Source organism: Homo sapiens, chromosome 17 (assembly GCF_000001405.40).
Source record: "Homo sapiens chromosome 17, GRCh38.p14 Primary Assembly".
Classification (NCBI taxonomy): Eukaryota; Metazoa; Chordata; class Mammalia; order Primates; family Hominidae; genus Homo; species Homo sapiens.
Genome location: NC_000017.11, coordinates 67,487,609 through 67,513,976, shown reverse-complemented (window position 1 = coordinate 67,513,976; position 26,368 = coordinate 67,487,609). Strand labels below are relative to the sequence as shown.

Sequence of the window (26,368 nt, the reverse complement as noted above, 5' to 3'; positions counted from 1 at the left end):
TTCGGTGGGCTTCGAAGAGCACAGAATTGTGCACAATCCCCTCCGACCATCCATTTCTCAAAAGGCCTATGTTCCAAAGAGGTTAAGAGACACTATCTAATTACAAATGGTATCTACACCAGAATTTCCCATAACGATTTTAAAGAATGATAGATCCATAGGATGCTAAGCAGTGGGAGGAAAAGAGCTTCACAGTTAAATGAATGTGGGTGACATTAGGTCAAAGAGAATTCAACAAGTTTTTCCTGCAAGCCTTCTTGGTCTTTGCTGTACTGACACACACGTGACCACTCATTGATTGCACTGGGAAGCCCCCTTCCAGCCGTCTCTTCTTCCTATGCCCTTAGTGACTCCTAGAACACATTAAGTGCAAAGTGAGCTTTACTCCCACTTGGCAACTACCAAGTCATGCACTGCTTTGTGATAATTCTTCTGTGACTGTTTTTACTTATTTATTTTTTACTATATATATATATATATATATATACACACACACACATATAGTAAAAATATAGTATATGTATATATACATATATGTATATACATATATATACACACATATGTAGATGTAGATATAGATATAGATATAGATATAGATATAGATATAGATATAGATATAGATACAGACTCTTCCTGTGTCACCCAGGCTGGAGTGCAGTGGTGGGATCTCAGCTCGCTTTTGCCTCCTGGGTTCAAGCTACTCTCTTGCCTTAGCCTCCCGAGTAGCTGGGATTACAGTCGCCCGCCGCCATGCCTGGCTAATTTTTGTATTTTTAGTAGAGATGGGGTTTCGCCTTGTTGACCAGGCTGGTCTCCAACTCCTGACCTCAGATGATCCATCTGCCTCGGCCTCCCTAAGTGCTGGGATTATAGGCGTGAGCCACTGTGCCCAGCCTTACTATATATTTTTAATAATTATTATATGATTTCTATATGATTGTGTGCATCCCATTATGTTGTGTTTATTTTATATCTGTCTCCCCTACTAGACTGGAAGCCACTTAAGTGTGGGGTACACAACTTGACTTTATCTTTTCAGATACTGCCAAGCTGGCTGGAGCTTAGATAACTCCGGATATATTGAATAACTCAATGAATGAGTGATCGAGCTTATCTCCCCAACTAAGATATGAACTACATTTTAAATATTTTTTGTATTCTCATGGCACCTAGAACGCAGCTTTTCTTATGGTAAAAAAAAAAAGTCAATAAAATTCTCAAAAATTAAATGTATTGGAAAATATTGAGTGAACACCATTATATCCTGGACACCAAAGATGTGAGGATGGATAATACGGTCCTTGTGATCAAGGAGTTTAGAGTCTAATAAGAGAAATCGATATATAAACAAAAAATGATAATAAAATATAAATACTCTAAAAGCAAGTTCAGGGTACCTGAGAACACAGGATAGAGCCTAACAGTTCTGATCTTCCGGCTCCAAGTCCAGCTGTTTTTTTTTTTTTTTTTTTTTTTGAGACACAGTCTCACTCTGTCGCCCAGGCTAGAGTGCAGTGGCACGATCTCGGCTCACTGCAACCTCCGCCTCCCAGGTTCAAGCGATTCTCCTGCCTCAGCCTCCCGAGTAGCTGGGATTACAGGCACCCATCATCACGCCTGACTAATTTTTTTGTATTTTAGTAGAGACGGGGTTTCACCCTGTTTGATCAGGCTGGCCTCAAACTCCTGACCTCAAATGATCCGCCCGCCTGGGCCTCCCAAAGTGCTGGGATTACAGGCGTGAGCCACTGCACCCGGCCCCCAAATCCGGTTTTCATTTGAAGAAACTGGGACCTAGAGAGGTCTAAGGTCACATACTAGTGGAGTAGTTGGGAGTCAACGTGGATCTTTCTCACCCCAAGTTCTGAGCTGGACATCACTCTCTAGCCTTGGGGCAGGGAAGGGCAGGTCTGAAGAGAAGGAATAGATTTTCCATCCTGGCAGGCAGAGAACAGCAATGCGAAATTCAAGTGCATCATCAGCAGGAGACCAGGCAGAAATTTAGAGAAGAAATACAAATGGCCAATTAACATATGAAAATGTTCAACCTCAAGTAATCAGTATCACCCTAGAGTTTTGCAATGGGAAGACCTGCAAAACAAATGTTTAAAATGTAAACTAAAACATTTCCCATCTATCAAAGTATTAAAAATTTAAAAAGCTAGCCAGGCTGGGTGCAATGGCTCATGCCTGTAATCCCAGCACTTTGGGAGGCTGAGGTGGGTGGATCATCTGAGGTCAGGAGTTCGAGACCAGCTTGGCCAACATGCTGAAACCTCATCTCTACTAAAAATACAAAAATTAGCTGGGCGTGGTGGTGAGTGCCTGTAATCCCAGCTACTCGGGAGGCTGAAGCAGGAGAATCACTTGAACTCAGGAGGCAGAGGTTGCAGTGAGCTGAGATCGCACCACTGCACTCCAGCCTGAGTGACAGAGTAAGACTCTGTCTCAAAAAGAAAAAGAACAGCTAGCCAGTATTGACGAGGTGAAGGGAACCGACCTCGGTCCACAATGTGGTGGAAGAACAAAATGGTTAAGTCCTTTAGGAAGATGATTTGGCAACGTCTATTAAAATTAAAGATGTTCTTACCATTTTACCTAGCTACTCTACCTAGGAATTTATCCTAGAGAAACCCTTTTGCAATTGTGCAAAGATTTATGTGCTTAAGATTATTCATGTCTACATTATATGCAATAACAAAGCTGGAAAAACTCCAGTTGTCCATCAATGGGATCCGTTAGATAAATCATGGTACATCCAAACAATGAAATACAATACAGCTATTAAATCATGAAATAGAGCTCTCCTTGCCAAGATGGAAAGATGCCCCAGTTGCATAATTATGTGGGGGAAGGAAAGTAAGCTGCAAAACAGTAGGTATAGCAGGAGTTTTGCTAAAATGCAAACGCGTGTACTCATATATGAATAGAAAAAGAAAAATCTAAAAAAATATATTGTCCATTGTTAATGGCAATTACCTAAGAGATAATTGTGGGAAAGATACTTCTATGAGGTTTGAAGTTTTTATAAGGAACATGTACTTTTCAAGTAGAAGAAACAATACGCTGGCATGGAAAAGGGGGCCTAATGCTGAAATTTCAAGGCAGCATTCCAATCCCTGAGTAGTGGGGAAGAGAGAATGAGGATGGGACCCGGGAGTCTTTATCCACAAGGGCGGTAACAGAGGTTGCTCTACTAAAAATACAAAAATTAGCTGGGCATGGTGGTGAGTGCCTGTAATCCCAGCTACTAGGGAGGCTGAGGCAGGAGAATCACTTGAACCCCGGAGGCAGAGATTGCAGTGAGCTGAGATCGCACCACTGCACTCCAGCCTGAGTGATAGAGCAAGACTCTGTCTCAAAAAGAAAAAAAATGGCCAGGCGCGGTGGCTCACGCCTGTAATCCCAGCACTTTGGGAGGCCGAGGCGGTCAAGGGCGCCCTCTTGAGTAGTGAAGGGCTTGAGGCATTAGAGAGGCTTCTGAAGAAGGAACTGAGAAAGGCAACCAAAGCAAAAGCCAGCCCAGGGGTCTAAAGAGGGGCAGGAATGCTGTTAGGAATGGGGGTCTTGGAGAGAAGGAAAGGGGTGCGCACATCAGCTCTGGACGCAGGGATTAGTGACAAGGCAGGTTCGGGGTGTCCTGAAAGTGGGCCACATGGTGGCCAAAGAAGCCAGAGGGGGCTCTGATTCCCAGATCTGCAGACAGAGTGAAAGACAGTGAAGCCACTGTGTGGGCTGAGTCTCTTAAGCAACTCCTGCTTTAGACCCAGATTAGTCTAGGACCTGGGGCAGAGGAAGGAAGGACAAATGTGTTGCCCAAGGCTGTCTATTTCACTTTCCCTTTACTCACCCAATGCCCTGTGCTCAGCTTCAAGTGTTTCAGCACTTAGAGATCTAAGATACTGACTGGAAGCCTCCCAATAGGAGGAACCTCCTATCTTTCCAAAATAATTCCCAAACCTCTGCATAAAGGCAGCAGATTGTGTACTTAAGACTCATTGAAGTCAATTGGTCTCCGATTTGAGCCGGCTGTGTTCTAGACGTTTCTTTTCAGGCTAAAGTGTTTCAAAGCTCCAAATCCATTCATAGAAATGACGTCATTAGGCTTGCTCAGAGAAGACGAATTGACCCAAAATTCCCCCAAATAAAAACTCAGCCACCATTTCTAATAATATTTCTCTGAGTTAATACACTCAGGAAGTTGATTCTTCCTCCCCACCCCCAAGTATGTGGGAATGTTCCCCAAAGTGTGTTTTTCTAACATGGAAAGGATGTGATATATGTCACACTTTAAAGCATTTTTTTCTTCTGATCAGAGGGGACCACAGTCAAATAAGTCTGAGGAAAAACTAAGTCAAACCCGGTTGAACACGTTTTATTTATTTATTTATTTATTTATTTATTTATTTATTTATTTTTAATTCAATTTAATTTAATTTAGAGATGGAGCCTCACTCTGTTGCCCAGGCTGGAGTGTGGTGGTGCAATCTCGGCTCACTGCAACCTCCACCTCCTGGGTTCAAGCGATTCTTCTGCCTCAGCCTCCCAAGTGGCTGGGATTACAGGCGTGCACCACCACACCCAGCTATTTATTTTATTTTATTTTTAGTAGAGATGGGGTTTCACCATATTGGCCAGGCTAGTCTTGAACTCCTGACCTCGTGATCCGCCCGCCTTGGCCTTCCAAAGTACTCACAGGCATGAGCCACCACGCCCGGCCTATTTTATTTATTTATTTATTTTGAGACGGAATCTCACTCTGTCTCCCAGGCTGGAGTGCAGTGGCGTGATCTTGGCTCACTGCAACCTCCATCTCCCCAGTTCAAGTGATTCTCCTGCCTCAGGCTCCTGAGTAGCTGGGATTACAGGCGTGCACCACCACACCCGGTTAATTTTTGTATTTTTAGTAGAGACGGAGTTTCACCATGTTGGTCAGGCTGGTCTCGAACTCCTGACCTCATGTGATCCACCCGCCTTGGCCTCCCAAAGTGCTGGGATTACAGACGTGAGCCACCAAGCCCGGCCTGTTTTTATTTTTAAATTATGGTAAAACATACATAACATGAAATTTACCATTTTAACCATTTTTAAGTATTCAGTTTGGTGCATTAAGTACAACCACAATGTTGTGCAGCCATCACTAGAACGTTCCGTCACCACAAACTGAAACTCTACACTCTTTAAACAACAGCTCCCCGTTTCCCTCCCCTCTGGCCCCTGGCAACCACCATTCTACCTTCTGACTCTATGAATTTGCCTCTTGAAGGTACCTCAGCTAAGTATTTGTCTTTTTGTCAGAGGCATTTGAACCAGAGCAACTCCATCTTGAATAGGGGCTGAGTAAAATGAGGCTGAGATCTACTGGGCTGCATTCCCAGAGAGTTAAGGCATTCTAAGTCACAGGATGAGACAGAAGGTCGGCGTGAGATACAGGTCATAAAAAAACAGGTTTGCAGTAGAGAACCCAGGTAAAACCCACCAAAACCAAGATGGCGACAGGAGTGACCTCTGGTCGTCCTCACTGCTACACTCCCACCAGAGCCACGACAGTTTACAAATGCCATGGCAACATCAGGAAGTTACCCTATATGGTGTAAAAGAGTAGGCATGAATAACCCACCCCTTGTTTAGCACATCATTAAGAAATAACCGTAAAACTGGGCAACCAGCAGCCCTCCAGGCTGCTCTGTTTATGGAGTAGCCATTCTTTTATTCTCTACTTTCTTAATAAACTTGCTTTCACTTTGTAGACTCGACCTGAATTCTTTCTTCCTTGAGATCCAAGAACCCTCTCTTGGGGTCTGGATCAGGGCCCCTTTCTGGTAACAGCTTTGCAAATTTCATGAGGACATTCAATTTTCTGGCTGCGTAACTGGTAGGATGGGAGAACGGAGATTACTCTTGGGAATTAAATATAGAAGGAGGAGGAGCAGGCTTTGGAAAAAATAACTTCCTGTGAGGTTAAGGATTCCGGGGACAACTAGGTGGCCTGGACATGTTTAAACACATCCTGGTTTGCAGCCCAGGAAAGCGATCCAGGTTGCAGCTCAGGGTCAGAAGACCACAGCACTCAGATGGTCAGTGAAGCCATGGAGCGATGGGCACTAAACAGTACCCAGGAGCAACAACAGTGAAGGGGTAGGGGAAGGAAGAAAAACCCAGGAAGGACACTGAGAAGGACCAGTAAGAGAAAGAACAAACCAGGAGCACACCTCCTAAATGCTCTCCTGCCCCTGGTCTCCCAGCCTTCAATAACACAGTTCTACTCTTTTTTTTTTTTTTTTTTTTTTTTTGAGACCAAGTCTTGCCCTGTCACCCAGGCTGGAGTGCAGCAGTACGATCCCAGCGCACTGAAACCTCCATCTCCTGGTTCAGGTGATTCCCCTGCCTCAGCCTCCCGAGTAGCTGGGATTATAAATGCATGCCACCACGCCTGGCTAATTTTTGTATTTTTAGTGGAGATGGGGTTTCACCATGTTGACCAGGCTGGTCTCGAACTTGTGACCTAAAGTGATCCGCCTACCTCTACCTCCCAAAGTGCTAGGATTACAGGTGTGAGCCACCATGCGTGCCCAGACAGATCTAAATCTCACTGCAAATCTGAAACCTTTAATGATTTTCTCCAACGTACACAGCAACATCTGAACTCCTCTCCCAAGTTTTTGCAGCTCTCGGACTCGGCCTTGACTCATACCCACCCTAGTCTCAGCATCATCCACCCCGGTTACTGACTGCTTGCCTGCTCTGTTCTGCACACATTCTCAGCGTGGCTTCTCTGCTCAGTGACTCAGTCATTCTTTCTATGTATTCATCTATGAATATTTTACTCTTCCATCAAGGCCCTGCCTCTATCCCACCTTTTCTAAGAGGTCACAGTGACTCGTTGAAGTGGGATGAATGTGTCCATTCCTGGCAATCCTAACGAGTGGGTCTATGTCATTACAAGAAACCACCACCACCACCATACTATCAACTGATTATAGCATCGATTTGTTTTCATTCTAGAAAAATTAGAATAAGGAAACTTTTTTAAAAAAACAAATCCAGAAATAGACAATGTTAACATTTGGGTACATATTCTTCCTAGTTTTGAATTCTGGTTTTGAATTTTTTTTAGATACGATGAAAATTATACTGAATATATTACTTTGAAATGTGCTTTTTCTAACTGAATATATTATCAGCATTTCCCATATCTTTAAATATTCTTCAAAAATTATCAATGGTTGCATAAAATCTCTCCTAGTATAGGTGTAATTTAATCGATTTCCAATTATTGAATGAGAATTTAAGAAATTTTCTTGTTTACCCGCAGTACATCGCGTATAGTAAGTACTGAAAAGTCATTTGAATTGGGGTTTTATTATTAGTATAATAAAATAAAAATAGGCAAATCCTGTCCTGAATTTACATGATCATTCAGATAGCAAATACATTATTTAAACAGAAAAAAATTGTTTTCAGCTTGTGTAATATAAATTTGTAAATTTGTGTCAATTAAAAGTCAGTTACACCTGAAAAAACTACTGCTTTCCCCACCCCATGAGGGCCATTCCTTCTCCCAAAGACTGAAATTCATGATTAGGGCAGTGATTTGAAAAACAAAGCAAAACTAAACTAAACTAAAAACAATATCTTAAATCTAAAGGGAGATTGTATATTCAGGAACATTAGTATCATCTAATCTGAAAATGTGTGTAAAATCTTACTTCACCTTTTCTTCATTTCCTTTTCTTCAGCAGTGTCTCTTCACATTAAAATATATTGAAATTTTTTCAGTAGGTAAAAGCCAGTTACAAATATGATTTATATGCTTGCCCATAGTAAAGTGACTTTTCAGTAGCCCTAGGTAATATCTCGCCAGCCCAAGCATGATGATTTGAGGGAGGAGGGAGAGAAAAGGGAAAGGGACTGAGTGGGACTAAGGCTTGCCCAGTGCCCAGGAGGGCAGGAAAGGGTGGAGTAACAATGGAGGATCAACAACTGGACAAAAGGCACGTCTCACAAGGCTTGATAGCAGGCTCCAGTGCAATCCAGGTAGAGGGGGAGGCCAAAAATACGAAGAAACACCATCAAAAGAATTGCGAGGGAAAAGAGAGTTACTCCAAAATTTTACATATGGCCAATCTGTCATCTGTGTGCAAGCGTAACACATGCAAAGGCTAGGAAACACTCCCTACAGGTGTTCTCAAAAACAACTTGGGCTGGGCGCGGTGGCTCACGTCTGTAATCCCAACACTTTGGGAGGCCAAGGTGGGTGGATCATGAGGTCAGGAGATCGAGACCAGCCTGGCTAACACGGTAAAACCCCATCTCTACTAAAAAAAAGACCCAACTATATGCTGTCTATAGGAGATAGTTTAGATCCAAAGTTACAAATAGACTGGAATTAAAGGACAGGAAAAATATGTCATGTAAACAGTAAACCATAAGAAAGCTGGAGTGGCTGTACTAATATCAGACAAAGTAGACTTTAAAACAAAAAATGGTACCAGAGATAAAGTGGGACATTTTATAATGATCAAAGGGTAATTCCTTAGGAAGATACAATGATAAACAGGTATGTGCCTAACAGAGCCCTGAAATACATAAAGCAAAAATTGACAGAATTGGTAAGAGAAATGCACAATTAAACTAAACTATCACAACTATAGTTGGAGACCTTAGTGCCCCACTTTGAATAATGGATAGAACAACTAGGCAGAAGATCAACATGGAAACAGAAGACTTGAACATTATAAGCCAATTAGACCTAAAAAATCAACAGAACACATCACTCAACACAGCAGAATACACTCTCTTTTCAGTGCATGTGGAAGTCTCCAGGATAGACCGTATACTAGACCATAAAACAAACTTCAGTAAATTTAAAAGGACTGAACTCATACAAGGCAAGTTCTCCGACAACAATGGAATAGAATTAGAAATTCAGGCAATTTATAAATATGTGGAAATTAAACAACACACACAAATAACCAATGGGTTTAAGAGGAAATCACAAGGGAGAGTAGAAAATAATTTGAGATGATTAGAAATGAAGATACAACATACCAAAACTTAAGTGACACAGCTAAGGCTGTGCTACCTAAAGAGAAGTGTATAGCTGTAAATGCATATATTAAAAAAGAAAAAGATTTCGCATCAATAACTTAACCTTCCACCTGAAGACAGCGGAACAAAAAAAGCAAGTCAAACCTAAATTAATTAATTAACCTAAATTAATTAACTAATGAACTAGAGAATAGAAAAATAACAGAGAAACTGAACAAAACCAAAAGTTGGCTCTTTGAAAGGATCAACAAAATTGACAAAACTTTAGCTAAACTGGCCAAACAAAAAAGAAAGAAGACTGACTGAATTCCCCTGATATTGAAAAATATCGTAAGCATTGCTTTGTCAAAACGTTTCCCAGGTCTTCCCTTTGCTCCAGGAAGGTACGGGTTCTAGAGAGACTTTAGCCATTCCTGTGTACCTTTTCACAGCAGAAGGTTGAAAACTTGTTCTTCAATAGTTTTACACATGTGGTGGCTACTAGTTCCTGGAATAGCAAAGCAATTGCTACCTCCATGCCTTTTCAGTTGCTTTAGATAAGACCTGTTTTGCACCTGAGAAAACAGAAAGATCAGAGCAGCTTTTTTGTGTGTTTTGTTTACACAGTGTTGTTGTATTTTCATTTGCTCTAGACTTCAAGGCAGATGCAAAAGAAAATGAAAAACAACTTAGGTTCAGTAGAGTGGTCAAGTGATCCTACTCCTTTGGGGAAGGATATGCCACAGACTCCTGGAAGGCTGGAGATGTTGGGGCTCAGAAAGCAATACCCCAAAATAGGGTGCTTTGACATGCTGAAGTGAGGCAGAAGCCTCAGGGTCTCTCTGACCTTCCTCCACACCCCTCATTTCTCTGTCTCTCCCAAAGCACAGAATCAAGTTGTTCTCTGGAGTTCCTTCTATCTGCCAGCCCCCAAACTTTTAATGTGGAAGTTACAAGAGGGTAACTTCCAAAGGGTAACATCCAAAAGGTTGCAAAATAAGGGAATAGAACAAAAAAAGAGGAAGACAGAAATGCCAAAGAAGGAAACAATCACTTCTGGTCACTCCCCTGTGTTTTCATTAACTGAACTCATATCGCGTAAAGAAAGCCTGAATTCAGTCAACACACCTGGACAGAATTTTGTCACAAACCATTGTCTGCCCAACAGACTTTGTCCCAATCCATTGTATGTTCTTCAGGCCCATCAAATTCCCTAAAAATCATCTACTACCTCCCTAAAATCATCCACACTTCCCCTCTCCCTTTCCTCTAAAAAATAAGATATATAAACATCTGTACCCCATTAGGATACTGGGTAATCGCTTTGTGATTTTCCTCCCATGCACGCTAATCATTTGTATGGCTTTTCCCCTATTAATTTGCCTTTGTTTCAAGAAACAAAGGGTAAGTTTTCCCTTGTCCCCTACAGAGAAAATACAAGGGCTGCAGAGAAGTTACTCAGAGTGTGACATGGTACCTGGGCAACAAACAATGCCCCCTCCCTCCCCGTCAAGATGGAACCAGGCCACTGGATTCTATTGCCAGCTCTGTGACCCAGAGTGAGTCACCTTACCTTTTAAGCTTTAGTCATCTCATTTATGAGACAAAGTGGTCATTAAGTGATATCATTTTTTTTCTAGTTCCTACCACCTTTTACCCAGTCCTACAATGGGAAATTCAGGAGCCATAATCCTTGGAGCACTCCCACCCCAACCCCCAGTACAACCTGTAGACTTACTTCTCAATAAATCTACTTCTTTTATTTTGAGTTTTTGGTAACTTTATTTTCTAAAACTCTACACAACAAATATGTTTTCTTTGACATCTCCACTTCCTTTAAAAAGAAATAGAGCCTGGGCGAGGTGGCTCACCCCTGTAATCCCAGCACTTTGGGAGGCCAAGGTGGGTGGATCACCTGAGGTCATGAGTTCGAGACCAGCCTGGCCAACATGGTGAGACCCCGTCTCTACTGAAATACAAAAATTAGCTGGGCGTAGTGGTGGCATGCACCTGTAATCCCAGCTACTCGGGAGGCTGAGGCAGGAGAATCGCTTGAACCCAGGAGGCGGAGGTTGCAGAGGAGCCAAGATCGCGCCACTATACTCCAGCCTGGGTGACAGAGCAAGACTCCATCTCTAAAATACAATACAATACAATACAATACAATACAATACAATACAATACAATACAATACAATACAATGCAATGCAATGCAATAATCTTACTTCACACAAACTTCCTCAAGTACCCAAAACTAGACCAATTCTCCCTGTCAGATCCTCTCAATAATATCTTGTACTTCCTTCATGAGAAAGGATCAAGGTAAGGCCAGGAATGACAAACCCTTCTACCCCATGGCAGATGTCACTTACTGACAACAGCCCCAATGCTGCCCCCAATCCTCTTCCATCCAGTGTTCCAAGTGGCCACTATAGATTGACTAGGGCAATGGTTTTGTTACTTGGGCCAACCCGTTCCTTAAATCTTCAATATCCTAAATTTTCCAATCTCCTTAAGTAGATTGCATTGTTACTCTCCAAAGCCACTTGCATACATCTAAACCAAATCTGCATTACAATTTCAATCCATTTCCTGGAAATGACTGTGCTTTGCTGAGTATCTAGAGAGCTGAGAACAGCCTAGTGGCCTAAAAAAAAAAAAAGTACAAGTAAATCTTAAAACACGGATTATGATTTTATGAAAGCAGAGAAGAGCACTAAGGAATAATTCATAAGCTATGGTTCAACTATGGTAATAGGATCGTTTACTTCACCACACAAACTTTCATCTTATTACTTTGCTGTTAGTCCACACGATGTCTTCAGAGTGCAGAACACGAAGACACATCTAATGTGCTTCAACTACAACGTGAATGGTTAACGCCTCCCAAACAAATTTATGATGTACCAAAAGTTGTCTTAAGACTTTCTGCACAATAGCTCATTTAATCCTCGTTAATTTAATACTCACTAATAGGTCAGTGTAATTATGATCACCTCCCTTGTACAGATGAGGAAACTGAGGCACCGACAAAGCAGAAGACCAAAATGACGAGAATTTCAGGCATGCTAGAATTTAGAAAGCTTACTTCCCTCAAACTTTTTTTTTTTTTTGAGACAGAGTTTTGCTCTTGTTGCCCAGGCTGGAGTGCAATGGCACAGTCTTGGCTCACTGCAACCTCCACCTCCCACGTTCGAGCAATTCTCCTGCTTCAGCCTCCCAAGTAGCTGGGATTACAGGCTCCCACCACCACATCCCGGCTCATTTTTGTATTTTTAGTAGAGACAGGATTTCACCATGTTGGCCAGGCTGGTCTTGAACTCCTGACCTCAGGCAATCTGCCCGCCTTGGCCTCTCAAATTGCTGGAATTACAGGCGTGAGCCACCGCACCCAGCCAGCCCCCAAACTTTTAATGTGGAAGTTACAAGAGGGTAACTTCCAAAGGGTAACATCCAAAAGGTTGCAAAATAAGGGAATGGAACAAAAAAGAGGAAGAAATAAATTTAATAAAATGTTGAGACAAGGCAGCGAAGGAGACAGGACAGGCTGGTAGATTGGAGCCAGATGACGATGGCTGAGAAGTAAGGAGATGTCATATAACCCGGAGTGCATCTACAGCACTAGGTGATGAAAGTGTATTTTTGGGGTCTATATGAAAAAGAAAGCAAGAAGGAATTCCAGGATAACACAAAAGGAATAGTCGATGGTAAATAAGAAAAGAGAATTCACTCGAACTGCGATGCATGAAATGCTATCCTCTAGGTGGCCTGTGGATTGTGGCATTGGTCCTATAGAGAAAGTAATAATATGACATTAGCACCTAGACCTGCAGTGGGCAATGTTTACACAGCGACAATAAATGTTGTTTACTGGTGTCCAACATTCAGAAATAAGCTAAAGATATTAAGATTAGAAAATGGAATAAATGGAATGTAACAGTTAAGAATCTTTCTTTTGGCCAGGTGCAGTGGCTCACGTCTTTAATTCCAGCACTTTGGGAGGCAGAGATGGGAGGACTGCTTGAGCCCAGGAGTTTGAGACCAGCCTGGGCAATATAGAGAGACCCCTGTCTCCACTTAAAAAAAAAAAAAATTTTGTCAAGTGTGGTGGTGTGCGCGCCTGCGGTCCCAGCTACTCGGGAGGCTGAGGTGGGAGGATCACTTGAGCCCAGGAGTTTGAGGCTTCAGTGAGCCGTGAGCCATGGGCCATGATCCGTGATTGTGCCACTGTACTCCAGCCTGGCTGACAGAGTGAGACCTTCTCTCAATTAAAAAAAAAAAAAAATCTTAAAAAAAAATTGAGATATAATTCAAACCATAAAATTTGTCCTTTTAAAGTGTAGAATACAGTGGGTTTTAGTATATTCATGAGGTTGTTACAACCATTACCACTATCTAATTTCAGAACATTTTCCTTATCCTAAAAAGAAACCTGGTGCCCATAAGCAGTTAATGGTATTCCTCGAGGCCCCTGGCAATGACTCATCAACTTTCTGTGCCTATCCTGGATATTTCATATAAATGGAATCATGTAATATGTGGCTCGTTGTGTCTGGCTTCTTTCACTTGGGTATGATGTTTTCATGGTCCATCCATGTTGTAGCATATATCAGAATTTCATACCTTTTTATTACCAGATAATAGCCCATTTATGGATATACCATATTCATTTATCCAGAATTTGGACAACGTAAAAGGGAGAAAAATGAAAGGGTAAGGCCTTAATGTTTTATTTAGAAAGGAAAGAGAATATTGCCGAAAACTGACAAAACAAGAAACAGAGACAGAAATGCAATAACTAGAGGTAGCTAAGAGAACTAAAACTAATTGTTTAAAATGATTAACCATCAGAAGAAGATAAGCTGAGAAGCAGTACAAGCAAACTAAATCCTCTGCAGCCTACTTATATATTCAAGGGGAGAAGATGGATAATTCTAAAACTGATACATTGAGAAAGAGCATACAGTATATGCATTTATTTAAAACGATGGAGGCTCACCAATGGAAGAACTAAGAACAGATGTACAGTCATGCATTGCTTAACGATGGGGATATGTTCTGAGAAATGTGTGAAATGATTCTGTCGTGCAAACATCATAGAATGTTCTTACACAAACCTAGATGGTGTAGCCTACTACGCACCTATGTTGCTTCTACACTACAAACCTGAAAAGCATGCTATTGTACTGAATGCTGTAGGCAACTGTAACATAACTATAAGTGTATGTGTATCTAAACACAGAAAAGGTACAGTAAAAATACAGCATTATAATCTCATAAGACCACCATCATATATGCGATCTTTCCTTGACTGAAATATTGTTATATGGTGCATGACTGTAATTGCCTCTGGGCAGTAGGAAGTAGGGAGGTAGCAGACCAGCTATTCAGGCCAAGGTCTTTACTTTGTTTCCTAAGATTCCTCAGGCTGGCCGGGCACAGTGGCTCATGCCTATAATCCCAGCACTTTGGGAGGCCAAGGAGGGTGGATTGCTTGAGCCCAGGAGTTCAAGACCAGCCTGGGCAACATGGTGAGACCCCTGTCTCTACAAAAAAATAAAAAAATTACACGGGCATGGTGGCACTTGCCTGTAGTCCCACCTACTCAGGAGGCTAAGGTGGCAGGATCACTTGAGCCCAGGAGGTGAAGGTTGCAGTGAGCTGAGATCACACCATTGCACTCCAACATGGGCAACAGAGCGAGACTCTGCTTCTCAAAATAAATAAAAACGGGCAAAGGACTTGAATAGATATTTCTTCAAAGAAGATATACGGGCTGGGCACGTGGCTCATGCCCATAATCCCAGCACTTTGAGAGGCTGAGGCAGGCAGATCACTGGAGGTCAGGAGTTCGAGACCAGCCTGGCTAACATGGTGAAACTCTGTCTCTGTTAAAAATACAAAAAAATTAGCCAGGCATGGTGGCGGGTGCCTGTAAGCCCAGCTACTCTGGAGGCTGAGGCAACAGAATCGCTTGAACCTGGGAGGCAGAGGTTGCAATAAGCCGTGATCGTGCTACTGCATTCCAGCCTGGGCAGCAGAGCAAGACTCCATCTCAAAAAAAAAAACAAAAACAAACAAAAAAAAAAACAAAGAAGATACACAAGTGACTAGTGAGTACATGAGTATATGAAATGATATTCAACACCACTAATCATCAAGGAAATGCAAATCAAAACCACAATGGGATATCACCTCACACTCGTTAGGAAGGCCACTATCAAAATAACAGAAAATAACAAGTGTTGGCAAGGACGTAGAGAAACTGGAATCATTGCACACCATTGATGAGCTTGTCAAGTAGCACAGCCGCTATGGAGAACAATACGAAGCTTCCTAACAAAATTAAAACTGGAACTACCACATGATCCAGCAATACCACTACTGGTTATATACCCAAAAGAGTTGAAAACAAGACCTCAAAGAGATATTTGCACACCCAAGTTCATTGCAGCATTATTCACAAGAGCCAAGGGTTGGAGACAACCTAAATGTTCATGAATAGGTGAATGCATACAGAAAATATGGTATATACATACAATGGAGTATTTTCTTGAACTCCTGACTGCAGATGATCTGCCCGCCTCGGCCTCCCAAAGTGCTGGGATTACAGGCCTGAGCCACCATGTCCGGCCAATATTAAAGATTAATATTGCTAATATATAAAGAGTTCCTAAATTAATTAAAAAGATAACCCAAAAGGAAATAATAAGCAAGAGATATGAGGGAGCCAGTTTCTGAAGATGATATACACATGGATAATAAACATAAGATAGAGGCCAAGCGCAGTGGCCCACGCCTGTAATCCTAGCACTTTGGGAGGCTCAGGTGGGTGGATCACTTGAGCTCAGGAGTTCAAGACCAGCCTGGCTAACATGGTGAAAACTCCAAACCCCGTCTCTTCCAAAAATACAAAAAATTAGCCAGGCCTGGTGGCGCATGCCTGTGGTCCCAGCTACTCAGGAGGCTGAGGTGGGAGGATCACTTGAGCCTGGAAAATGAAGGTTGTAGTGAGCCAAGATTGAACCACTGCACTCCAGCCTGGGCAACAGAGTGAGACTCCATCTTGAAAAAAAAAAAAAAGAAAGAAAAATACACAAGTGCACAAAAACCTAAACAGGCTGGGCATGGTGGCTCACGCTTGTAATCCCAGCACTTTGGGAGGCCGAGGCAGGCAGACTGCTTGAGTGCAGGAGTTCAAGACCAGCCTGGAAAACATAGCGAAACCATGTCTCTACAAAAAATACAAAAATTAGCTGGGCGTGGTGGCTCACACGTGTGGTCCCACCTATTCAGGAGGATGAGATGGGAGGTTCGCTTGAGCCTAGGAGGTCGAGACTGCAGTGAGCCATGATGACATCACTGCACTCCAGCTTGGGCAACAGAGACCCCATCTCAAAAAAAAAAAAAAAAAAAAGACACGAACAAGTTTATGGAGACACAGGTTTATCTTACTTGTAATAGAAAAAAAAAAAGACGACTTCCTAAATGTCCATCATTAAGAAAATAAAGTTTTATTTATCAATTTAATGAGCTACTGCTCCAAAGAATACAGTACCTATAAGTGTGCCTGCACAGGGTGACTTCCATTATAAATTAAGCTTTAATCCCAGCTACTCGGGAGGCTGAGGCTGGGGAATCGGAGGTTGCAGTGAGCCACGATTGCGCCATTGCACTCCAGCCTGGGCGACTGAATGAGACGCCGTCTCAAAAAAAAAAAAAAGGAGGTTTATAATAATATGTCTTGTGTGACTACTTATGTAAAAACAAAAAACATAGATAAGTTTTATTCTCATGTTAATTATTTTTAACGTCAGGCTCTTACTGTGTTGCCCAGGCTGGAGTGCAGTGGCTATTCACCGGAACAGTCATAGCTAAAAACAGCCTTGAACTCCTGGGTTCAAACGATCCTCCCACCTCAGCCTCCCGAGTAGCTGGGACCACAGGCACACACCACCATGCCTGGTTTTCTCACATTTATAAATGCACAGTATAGGGTCCAAAAGGATAAAACAGCACTTTTTTTTTTTTTTAAACTATGGTAAGCTCTGCAGAGAAGGGCAGAATTGGGAGGGCGGAAAGAAGGCTTCTCGCTCTAAATATATTTGGAATATTTATGTATTACATTTGAATTTTTAAAACCTACTTTTCCATTTTTGAAATTACGACCCTCAACCTTCTCATTTCTATTCTAAGTAGAAATAATTCTGCTAACCTTCTGTGATCACACTAGTTCTTTTCAATCACCATGTATGAGTCTGGGGTTGAAAATCACTGAAGCGCTCCCACAGAGTGAACCCATTATTTCCAGGATTAATCATACCTCCTGCTCTCAGGAGGGTTAAACCAGAGTGAACAGTGAGTGCTTTCCATATTTCTCAAGAGTGGAACTGTGATAATTCCATAGTAAACACGGGGAGGCTGGGACTCAAGACTGGGGTCATTGTCGTCACCGGTGCACTCAACACAGCACAGGTTTTACTAAGACGAGCAATAACCTTTAGATGACTCAACTCAAAGGGAGCCACGCATGGGCCTCAAATGCCTCTTGGAACTAGTTAAAAAGCTGCATATTGGATAATGTAGTTAGAAGACTAAAACTATTTTTCATGTAATTTACATGGGGGAATAACCGCATACAAGAACTTGTAGTTAAAGTAAAGAGTAGGAGGAAATGAAGAACGATAACAGGGAAAGGGGAGTGTTTCCATCACGGAAGCATTCGTTAGAGGGATGATATTTTAAAAACTTGTTCTTTTTTCCCATCTTAAGTTGTGCTCCCCAGCATTTTTTCCTCTAAGGTCAAGTACTATGCTTGGTAGTATTCCAAAAGCACTCTCTATAATTCCAACAACATTTTCTCCTCAGAATTCAATTCCCAGCATCACCAAAAACTCCTTTGTATTTTGGAATTTCCAAAATTATAAGCATAAAGAGTCAAAAATAAATAAAAAATGGTCAAATACAGATGAACTTTCCTACATCCAATGGCATTTCTACCTTTTAAATGCCAATTAATGGATTAACGTCTTTGGCTTAAAAAACAAAACCCTCTCTATTCATGTCAGCGTGACAACATCATAGAGTTAGCTAAACGTCCTCTTCCCTTAAGGTGCTTTATATGTTATGACCATAGCTGTATTGGTCAGGACTGGCCAGTTAATGCTTGGTAACAAAGAACCTCAACATCTCCACAGCTCATGGAATACTATACAGCCACAAAAAGGAATTGAGATCACGTCCTTTGCAAGAACATGGATGGAGCTGTAGGCCATTATCCTTAGCAAACTAATGCAGGAACAGAAAACCAAATACTGCATATTCTCACTTACAAGTGGGAGCTAAATGATGAGAACACACGGACACAAAGAGGGGAACAACAGACATTGGGGGCCTGCTTGATGGTGGAGAGTGGGAGGAAGGAGAGGATCAGAAAACGTATCTACTGGCTACTAGGCCTAGTAAGTGGGTGATGAAATAATCTGTACAACAAACCCCCATGACATGAGTTTACCTGTATAACAAACCTGCACATGTACCCCTGAACCTAAAATAAAAGTTTTTTTAAAAAAGATCTCCGTGGCTCAGAGGCCGGGCGCGGTGGCTCATGCCTGTAATCCCAACGCTTTGGGAGGCTGAGGCGGACGGATCATGAGGTAAGGAGATCTAGACCATCCTGGCTAACATGATGAAACCCCATCTCTACTAAAAAATACAAAAAAATTAGCCGGGCCTGGTGGCGAGCGCCTGTAGCCCCAGCTACTCGGGAGGCTGAGGCAGGAGAATGGCGTGAACCCGGGAGGCGGAGCTTGCAGTGAGCCGAGATAGCGCCACTGCACTCCAGCCTGGGCGACAGAGCCAGACTCCGTCTCAAAAAAAAAAAAAAAAAAAAAACAAAAAAAAAAACAACTCCATGGCTCAATATTGCCAAAGTTTACTTCTACTTGTTGTTGTTGCTGTTTTTTTTTGCCAGTTTGAGACGAGGTCTCCCCGTCACCCAGGCTGAAGTTCAGTGACACAGTCACAGCTCACTGCAGCCTTGACCCCCTGGGCTCAAATGATCCTCCTGCCTCAGCTTCCCTGAGTAGCTGGGACCACGGGCATGCAGCACCACGTCCGACTAATTTTTGTATTTTTTGTAGAGATGGTGTTTTGCCATGTTGCCCAGGCTGGTCTTGAACTCCTGGACTCAAGCAATCTGCTCACCTCAGCCTCCCAAATTCCTGGGGATTACAGGCGTGAGCCACTGCACCCAGCCTACTTCTTGCTTCTGCAAGTCAATGGCAGCACCCTGGTCCTTTTGGCACTCTGGGACCTGTACTATCAGAGCAGTCACCATCTCCGAATGTGCTGGCCACCACCAGCAAGCAAAACCACTGGGGATTTAGTTCATTGATAAATCTATAAAAGTTATATCTGAATATCTGTTGCCATTGAAAGAGGTTACAGGGCTGGGCACGGTGGCTCATGCCTGTAATCCCAGCACTTTGGGAGGCCGAGGCGGGTGGATCACGAGGACAGGAGTTCAAGACCAGCCTGGCCAAGATGGTGAAACCCTGTCTCTATTAAAAAAACAAAAATTAGCCAGACGTGGTAGCAGGTGCCTGGAATCACAGGTACTCGGGAGGCTGAGGCAGAGAATTGCTTGAACCCAGGAGGTAGAGGTTGCAGTGAGTCAAGATTGCGCCACTGCACTCCAGTCTGAGTAACAGAGCAAGACTACGTCTCAAAAAGAAAGAAAGAAAGAAAGAAAGAAAGAAAAAGAAAGAAAGAAAGAAAGAAAGAGGTTACACATATTGTTAGTGGAAAAAAGCAACCGATAAGAAACATGTACCATAAGATCTCATTTTAGTACCATATGTATCGTATAATAAGCTCCCACTGGAAGGTCAGCTCCGCAAGGACAGGGGATGGTTTGTCTGTTTTATTCATGCTCTATCCCTGGGGACTGGCACATGGCAGGCATTCAATACATACTCGTTGACTGCAGAAATAAAATGTTTGTATGGGAAGAAAGGTTTGTATATGAAATGTATATATGCAAATATATTCAACAGTGGTTAACTGTGGGTGTCAGGTTTGTGGTTATTTTCTGGTGGACCTGAATTTTTCTCATTCTGCAAGGAAGACAAATTGCTTTTGTATTGGGAAAAAGAAGGCTTATCAGTCATAATGATAGCTAGGTTGCTACCATCCCACCCATCTCACGTCTGGAGGGAAAACAGTCCTCTGAGGTACCATCACCACACTTTCCTCCCCTTTCCAGTATTTCCAAGGTCAAAGCCACCCTCCCCCATTTCCAGAAAGATCTTGGGGCATCAGGCAAATCCAAAGCAGCACATCTTCTTTAGACAGCTGGGGACCCTGGGTTTTAATCTAGTCTTATCCGCTGTACCAGCACTATTTCCACTCACTTATCAAAGCAGAATATTTAGAAATGCTGCATATCATTTGGTTGCATCCTAAGTTATGGAGCATAGAGCTTAAAAGCTGGAAAGGAGAATTAAAACTGGAGCTCCTAAAAGACTGCAAATTTATTTCTGAGTCTCGAGATGGAGGATACGACAGCTGTGCTATTCATCACTCCAGCGATGGGTTAAGAATATTTAAAATTCACAGTCAGTAGCCCAGCCTCTCCGATTCCCAGAAACTGGTGTGCTTTCACGCCTGCCCAGCCCTGTAATGGGCTCTTCTGAGACATGGAATATTCCTGATTGTGATCTAAGGAAGGAACTTGCTCCAAGAAAACCCTGCGTTCAACATTTGGACCTTATAAAATAGCCACATTAAAGAGTGGTTACTGAATCTACCATTGGATTCTCCATTTCACACAGAGATTCCAAATCGGATGGGGTGTTTAAAAAATTAATAGGAAAACTGGCAATAGCTACTGAAGCTGAACACACAGATAGCCTATGACCCAACAATTCAGCTCCTGAGAATGTAACTCACAAAAGCGCCCACGTATATTCATCAGAAAGGAACGAAACAGAATTTGTAACAGCACTCTTTGTCGTAGCCCCAAACTCAAATGCCCCCAACAGGAGAAGAGTAAATAAATCGTGGTATATTCACACCGTGGAACACTACAACTAAGCAGCAGTGAGAATCATCAAACACACAACAGGATAAACACATCTCACAAAGCGTGGAGGGGAAGAAATCTGACACAGAAGACGATGCACCGTAAGATTCCATTTATTATGTTCAAATGGCATAAAACCTATCCCCGGCGTTAGAAATCAGGACAGTAGCTGTCCTGGGGCGGTGTGAAAACAGAAACTAGGCTTGAGGGGGAGTTTCCAGGGTTTTGGAAACATTCTGCTTCTTCATCTAGGTGTGATGATTTTATTAGTTTCCTTATCAAATCACCACAAACTTGGTGGCTTCACACAACAGAGTTTACTGGCTCACAGTTCTGGATGCCAGAAAAAAGAAATCAAGGTGTCAGCAGGGCCAGGCTCCCTCCAAAGGCACGAGGGGACCACCCGTTTGTTGCCTCTTTTGGTTTCTGGTGGCTCAGCTGTTCCTTGCAGCTCCAGTGCTCTAATCCCTGCCTCCTGCTTCATATGTTTCCTTCCTGTGTGTCTGTGTCTTCTCCTCTTCTGTCTCTTGTAAGGACACTTGTCATTGGATTTAGGGTCCACTTAGGTAATCCAGAATGATCTCATCTCAAGATCCTTGATTGAATTATGTCTGCAAAGGTCTCCTTCCAAATAAGATCATATTCACAGGCTCTGGGGGATATTTAAGGGGCCACCCTTCAACTTGCTACAGTTACTTGGGTGTCAGATTTTACCCAGGGATGCATGCATGAACTTTTCTGACTGTATGTCTTATATCCATAAGGATTTTTTTTAAGGAGTTAGTTTACAACTTCTCAGAAATATACTTGTTATTCACCATAAGGCATCTTGCACATCTTTTTTTTTTTAAAAAAAAAAGAAAAAAAAAGGAAGACCGCTCGTGATTGCTGGCATTTCACTGGCACAATGCCAGCACAGTTTTTGGCTTCTCCCAACACCCCACCTCATTTCTGATCTTACTAAAATGTGCAGAAACCTCACAGCAACTTACACTTTTGGGGTTTTTGGTTTTTGGTTTTGTCGTTGTTTTGAGGCAGGGTCTCACTCTGTCACCCAGGCTGGAGGCAGTAGTGTGATCACAGCTCACCGCAGCCTTGAATTCCTGGGCTCAGGCCATCTTCCCACCTCAACCTCCCAAGTAGCTAGGACTACAGGCATGCCATGCCCAGGTAATTTTATCTTTTTGCAGAAACGGAGTCTTACTATGTTGCTGGAGCTGGTCTTAGACTCCTGGCCTCAAGTGACCCTCCCACCTGGGCGTATGTTTTTATTATCTGATTTCCCACCACTAACCAAAGTGGTGAGATCCTTTAACAAATTACAAGCCAGAGACCATCAGCGTGCGTGTGCTCTGTGCCACATCAGCTCAGAAAACCAGGCTATAATTTTAGACAGATGTTCATGAACTTGGGGATTCCTGGTGGGCAGACTTGATGCCTCCAACCCTGGACAGCAGGGAAGCAGCAGTGCCCTGCACCCAGATGACCCAGAAAGCATTTCTTAATGAACGGCCCGGCATTGTGACTCATGCTGGCTCCCACATCTGGCAGATCTGGGTTACATCACGCACGGTCCTCAGTGTCCTGCGGGTTCCTGGGAACGCGCTGCCCAGAGTCAAGTGCACCAGCTGCAGTGGCCGGCTGCGTTCACACGCCTCTCTGCGTCATCCTGATGGCCACACACTATGGGGCTGGCTCCGGCTCCGGGCTCCAGAGGCTGAGCCGACTGTGAGGAGGTCACCTCCCTCTCACTTTCCCATGGGCTTAAGAAGAAGTCACCATGGAAGTAAACCCTGGTGCCCAGGGCAGGACTGCATTCTTTGTTTCTCTACACTAATAGACCCTGGCATCACAATTCCACTGTATTAGCTGTGCTAATCTAGAGAGGAAAACAAAACAAAACAAAACCTCAGCCATTCACATTCCTTGAATAGAATCAGAGGAGGAGAGAAGTAAGTATAAAGTTTGAAAGAATCCCGAGAAGAAATGTTGATATAAACAGCTCTTGGCATCAGGTGGATGGTGTCAGGGAAGTTACTATTTTCGTGGGGACAGAGGCGCTGACGTTCAGCTCCATTGGACCCAGAGTCCTGTGCTATGTTCTCTCGTGACTGACAAAGCCCCCAACTCATTTCTCCCTGGGGACGACATTCCTGCTTTCTTATTCATTACGGATCCTTTGAGATTTTTATTTCGTATCCTTTTATTTACTGATCAGAGCTGCCCTGAAGGCTTCTTCTGGGACACCAGAAACTCCCAGCAGTCCCCTGCCTGCGGGGAGGCTCTTCATCCCAAAGCTCATTATTGTTAGAACAGGATGGGTTCACACCCGGGGGCTCTCTCTCCAAGCCTCCTCACTCCCCATCAATTCCACCTGTTCATTCAGAGTCGTGGTATGTCAGAGCTAGAGGGGACATTTTTAAAAAAATCATTAATTTCATTCTTTTATCTGGTTTGCCAATCTATGCCCTAATTTTAAAGCCAAGATTTAAAAAAAAACAAAACAAAAAACAAAAAACCAACAACAACAAACTGAGATCCTGCCAAGTTAAATAATTCATTATCCCTGGTTAGATAATAACACACACACACACACAAGTATGACCCAGGTCTCCTCATTCTTAGCTCCAAAGTTACATAATGCATCCTCATTCCTCATTCTTAGCTCCAAAGTTACATAATGCATCCTCGTTAATTAAAACACACACACACACACACACACACACACACACACACACACACACACACAGAAAAGCCTGTTTCCAAATCTTTAAACCTTGGGCTGAGATGTACAAATCTGAAGATATGCTCCAAAGAAATAACCTGGCTGGGTGTGGTGGCTCACGCCTGCAATCCCAGCATTTTGGGAGACCGAGGGGGATGGATCACTTGAGGTTCGAGACCAGCCTGGCCAACATGGTGAAACCCCGTCTCTACTAAAAATACAAAAATTAGCCGGGCGTGGTGGTGCACACCTGTAATACCAGCTACTCGGGAGGCTAAGGTGGGAGGATTGCTAGAACCTGGCAGGAAGAGGTTTCAGTGAGCCAAGATCCTATCACTGCACTCTAGCCTGGGACAGAGCGAGACTCCATCTCAAATTAAAAAAGAAAAAGAAAAAAGAAATAACCAAAAAGACAACAGACAGCATGAAAGGGATTGAGAAAAGGTTCGGGTTCAGTAATTCACTTGGGTGCTACAGAACCCTGGCTGCATATTAGACTCGCCTGGAAGCTTTCAAAAGTCCCCATGCTGAGGCCAGGACTCAAACCAATGAAATCAGAATCTCTAGAGGCGGGATCAGAGGCGGGGTCTGGACATCAATAAGCCACAAGGTGAATCCCGTGAGCAGCTAACATGAAACATCATTGATTTACCAGACTTGAGGCCACCATAACTGTATAGTGACCACAATCTTTGTCATCCAAGGAAGAAAAGGAGAAGGAAGGAGTCATTTATAGCCCATGATCTTTAGTTCATTCTGAGATCCTCTCTGTGCTTTTGGGGGTTCATCAGATGTAGGGTCAAACTGAGAAGGTCTACACTGGTGATCTCACCCTGGAACAGGGCCACTCTTCCATACCACATCTGTGAGGACAGAGGCCTATGGGCTGTACCTGGAGGCAAAAGGAGACGGAGCAAACAATCCAGCCCAGTAAGTACTCCTAGGGTGGCTCTCCCAAGTTCTCAAGATACTTTTCTTTTTTAAAAAAGGAGTCTGTTACCGTATGACCCATCAATTCCAATTCTGGGAAAGTACCCCAAAGAACAGAAAGCAGAGGCTCAAACAGGTATTTGTATAACTGTGTTCATGGCAGTACTATTCACAATAGTCAAAAGGTGGAAACAACCCATGTCCATCCACGGAGGGATGGATGGATGAACAAAACATGGTATATCCGTACAATGGAATATTATTCACTCCTGAAAAGGAAGGAAATTCTGATACACACTACCACACAGATGCACCTTGAGGATATTACGCTAAGAGAAATAAGCCAGATAGATACACAAGGACAAATACAGTGTGATTCTACTTATGTGAGTACCTAGAGTAGTCAAACTCAGGGACAGAAAGTGGCTCTGAAATTCAGAGACGGGCGGCTGCCAGGGGCTGCCAGGAGGGGAACAGGCAGTTACCACTGAACAGGCACAGAGTTTCAAGATGCAGAGTTCTGCAGATGGATAGTGGTGATACTGGTACAACGATAGGAATGCACTTAATAACACAGAACTGTACATTTAAAAATGGTTAAGATGGTAAATTTTGTTACATGTCTTATCTCCATTTGGAAAAGTGAACAAAAAAAGAGCCCACATGTGGCCCTTCCTTCGTTCGCTCAGGCATTGATGAAGGTGACTGAGGACAGAATTTCAAAGGTTAATGTGTCATCTGTAAAACACAGCACACACCAGGCCCCTGGACTCTGTTCTGCAGGATTGACTGACTCCAAGAGTTACAGAGCCTTGTAACTCCCCCGGGGCACAGGGAGGGCCGTCTGGCAGGCCTCTGGGTTCACATTATATAACAACCGGGCTGCCAGCTTCCAAGCAACACGAGGTGAATTCCGAAGCGCTCCACGCCTAGGATGAGCCAAGTGTTGATTAATTCCCAAATAACTTTATCGTGGGGACTTTTTCTGATTCCCAAATGCAGTGATGCCGCTTATTTGTCAGTTGAGAAATCTGTATTTTTCTGCGATGGGTTGACTCAATGTATTTTTAAAGAGGGACTTACCTTTCATCTTTTCTTTCCTTTTTGCTTAGTATTCTAGGGGCAAAGAAAAACTTCAGCAAGGAGAAAATCCCGCCAGCAACAGCTCTTTTGAGCTGCTCGGTAATCCAAACCTTTCAAGTAAGCTTTCTCCTTTACTGACACCTCTGTGACAGACAGAAAAGAAAAAATCGTAGCTTCTCTCTGATCAGTGGTCCTAACCCTTTTCTTCAATCAGCAGTCCGTGATGATCCTATACAGGGTATAAGATGCGAAGACATCTCCTGGGAGAAATTACTTAGGCCCTGGAGGCTGATCCCAAACCCCAAGTGTGTGAACTCTGGCCGTGCATCTAAATAAACACATCCTGCTCCCCCACCCTCAGACCAGTGGCCCCCAGAACAGCGCTTACACTTGGCCTAGAAAGCCTGTCCTGATGATTCACCATGAAGCCCAAAGTTTGGCAGCCGGAAAAACTTAAACTTTCCCCCTTTCTTAGAGTTTACAAATTAACAGTCCCTGAGAAGTCAATCATTCAA

At 43.1% G+C, this 26,368-nt stretch overlaps 1 protein-coding gene across 3 annotated transcripts in view, besides 1 other annotated feature; it reads right to left on the bottom strand.

Annotated features, from left to right (window-relative positions):
• The window catches only part of PITPNC1 (phosphatidylinositol transfer protein cytoplasmic 1), a 319,976-nt gene that overhangs the window by 183,280 nt on the left and 110,328 nt on the right, over positions 1–26,368 (bottom strand). The gene's annotated exons all lie outside the window — the stretch shown is intronic.
• Positions 24,465–24,704: an enhancer, noted in NCBI's record as "active region_12626". NCBI's record gives its function as "activates an Ori minimal core promoter by ATAC-STARR-seq in GM12878 lymphoblastoid cells {active_cell/tissue: GM12878}" and the evidence as "EXISTENCE:reporter gene assay evidence [ECO:0000049][PMID:35858748]".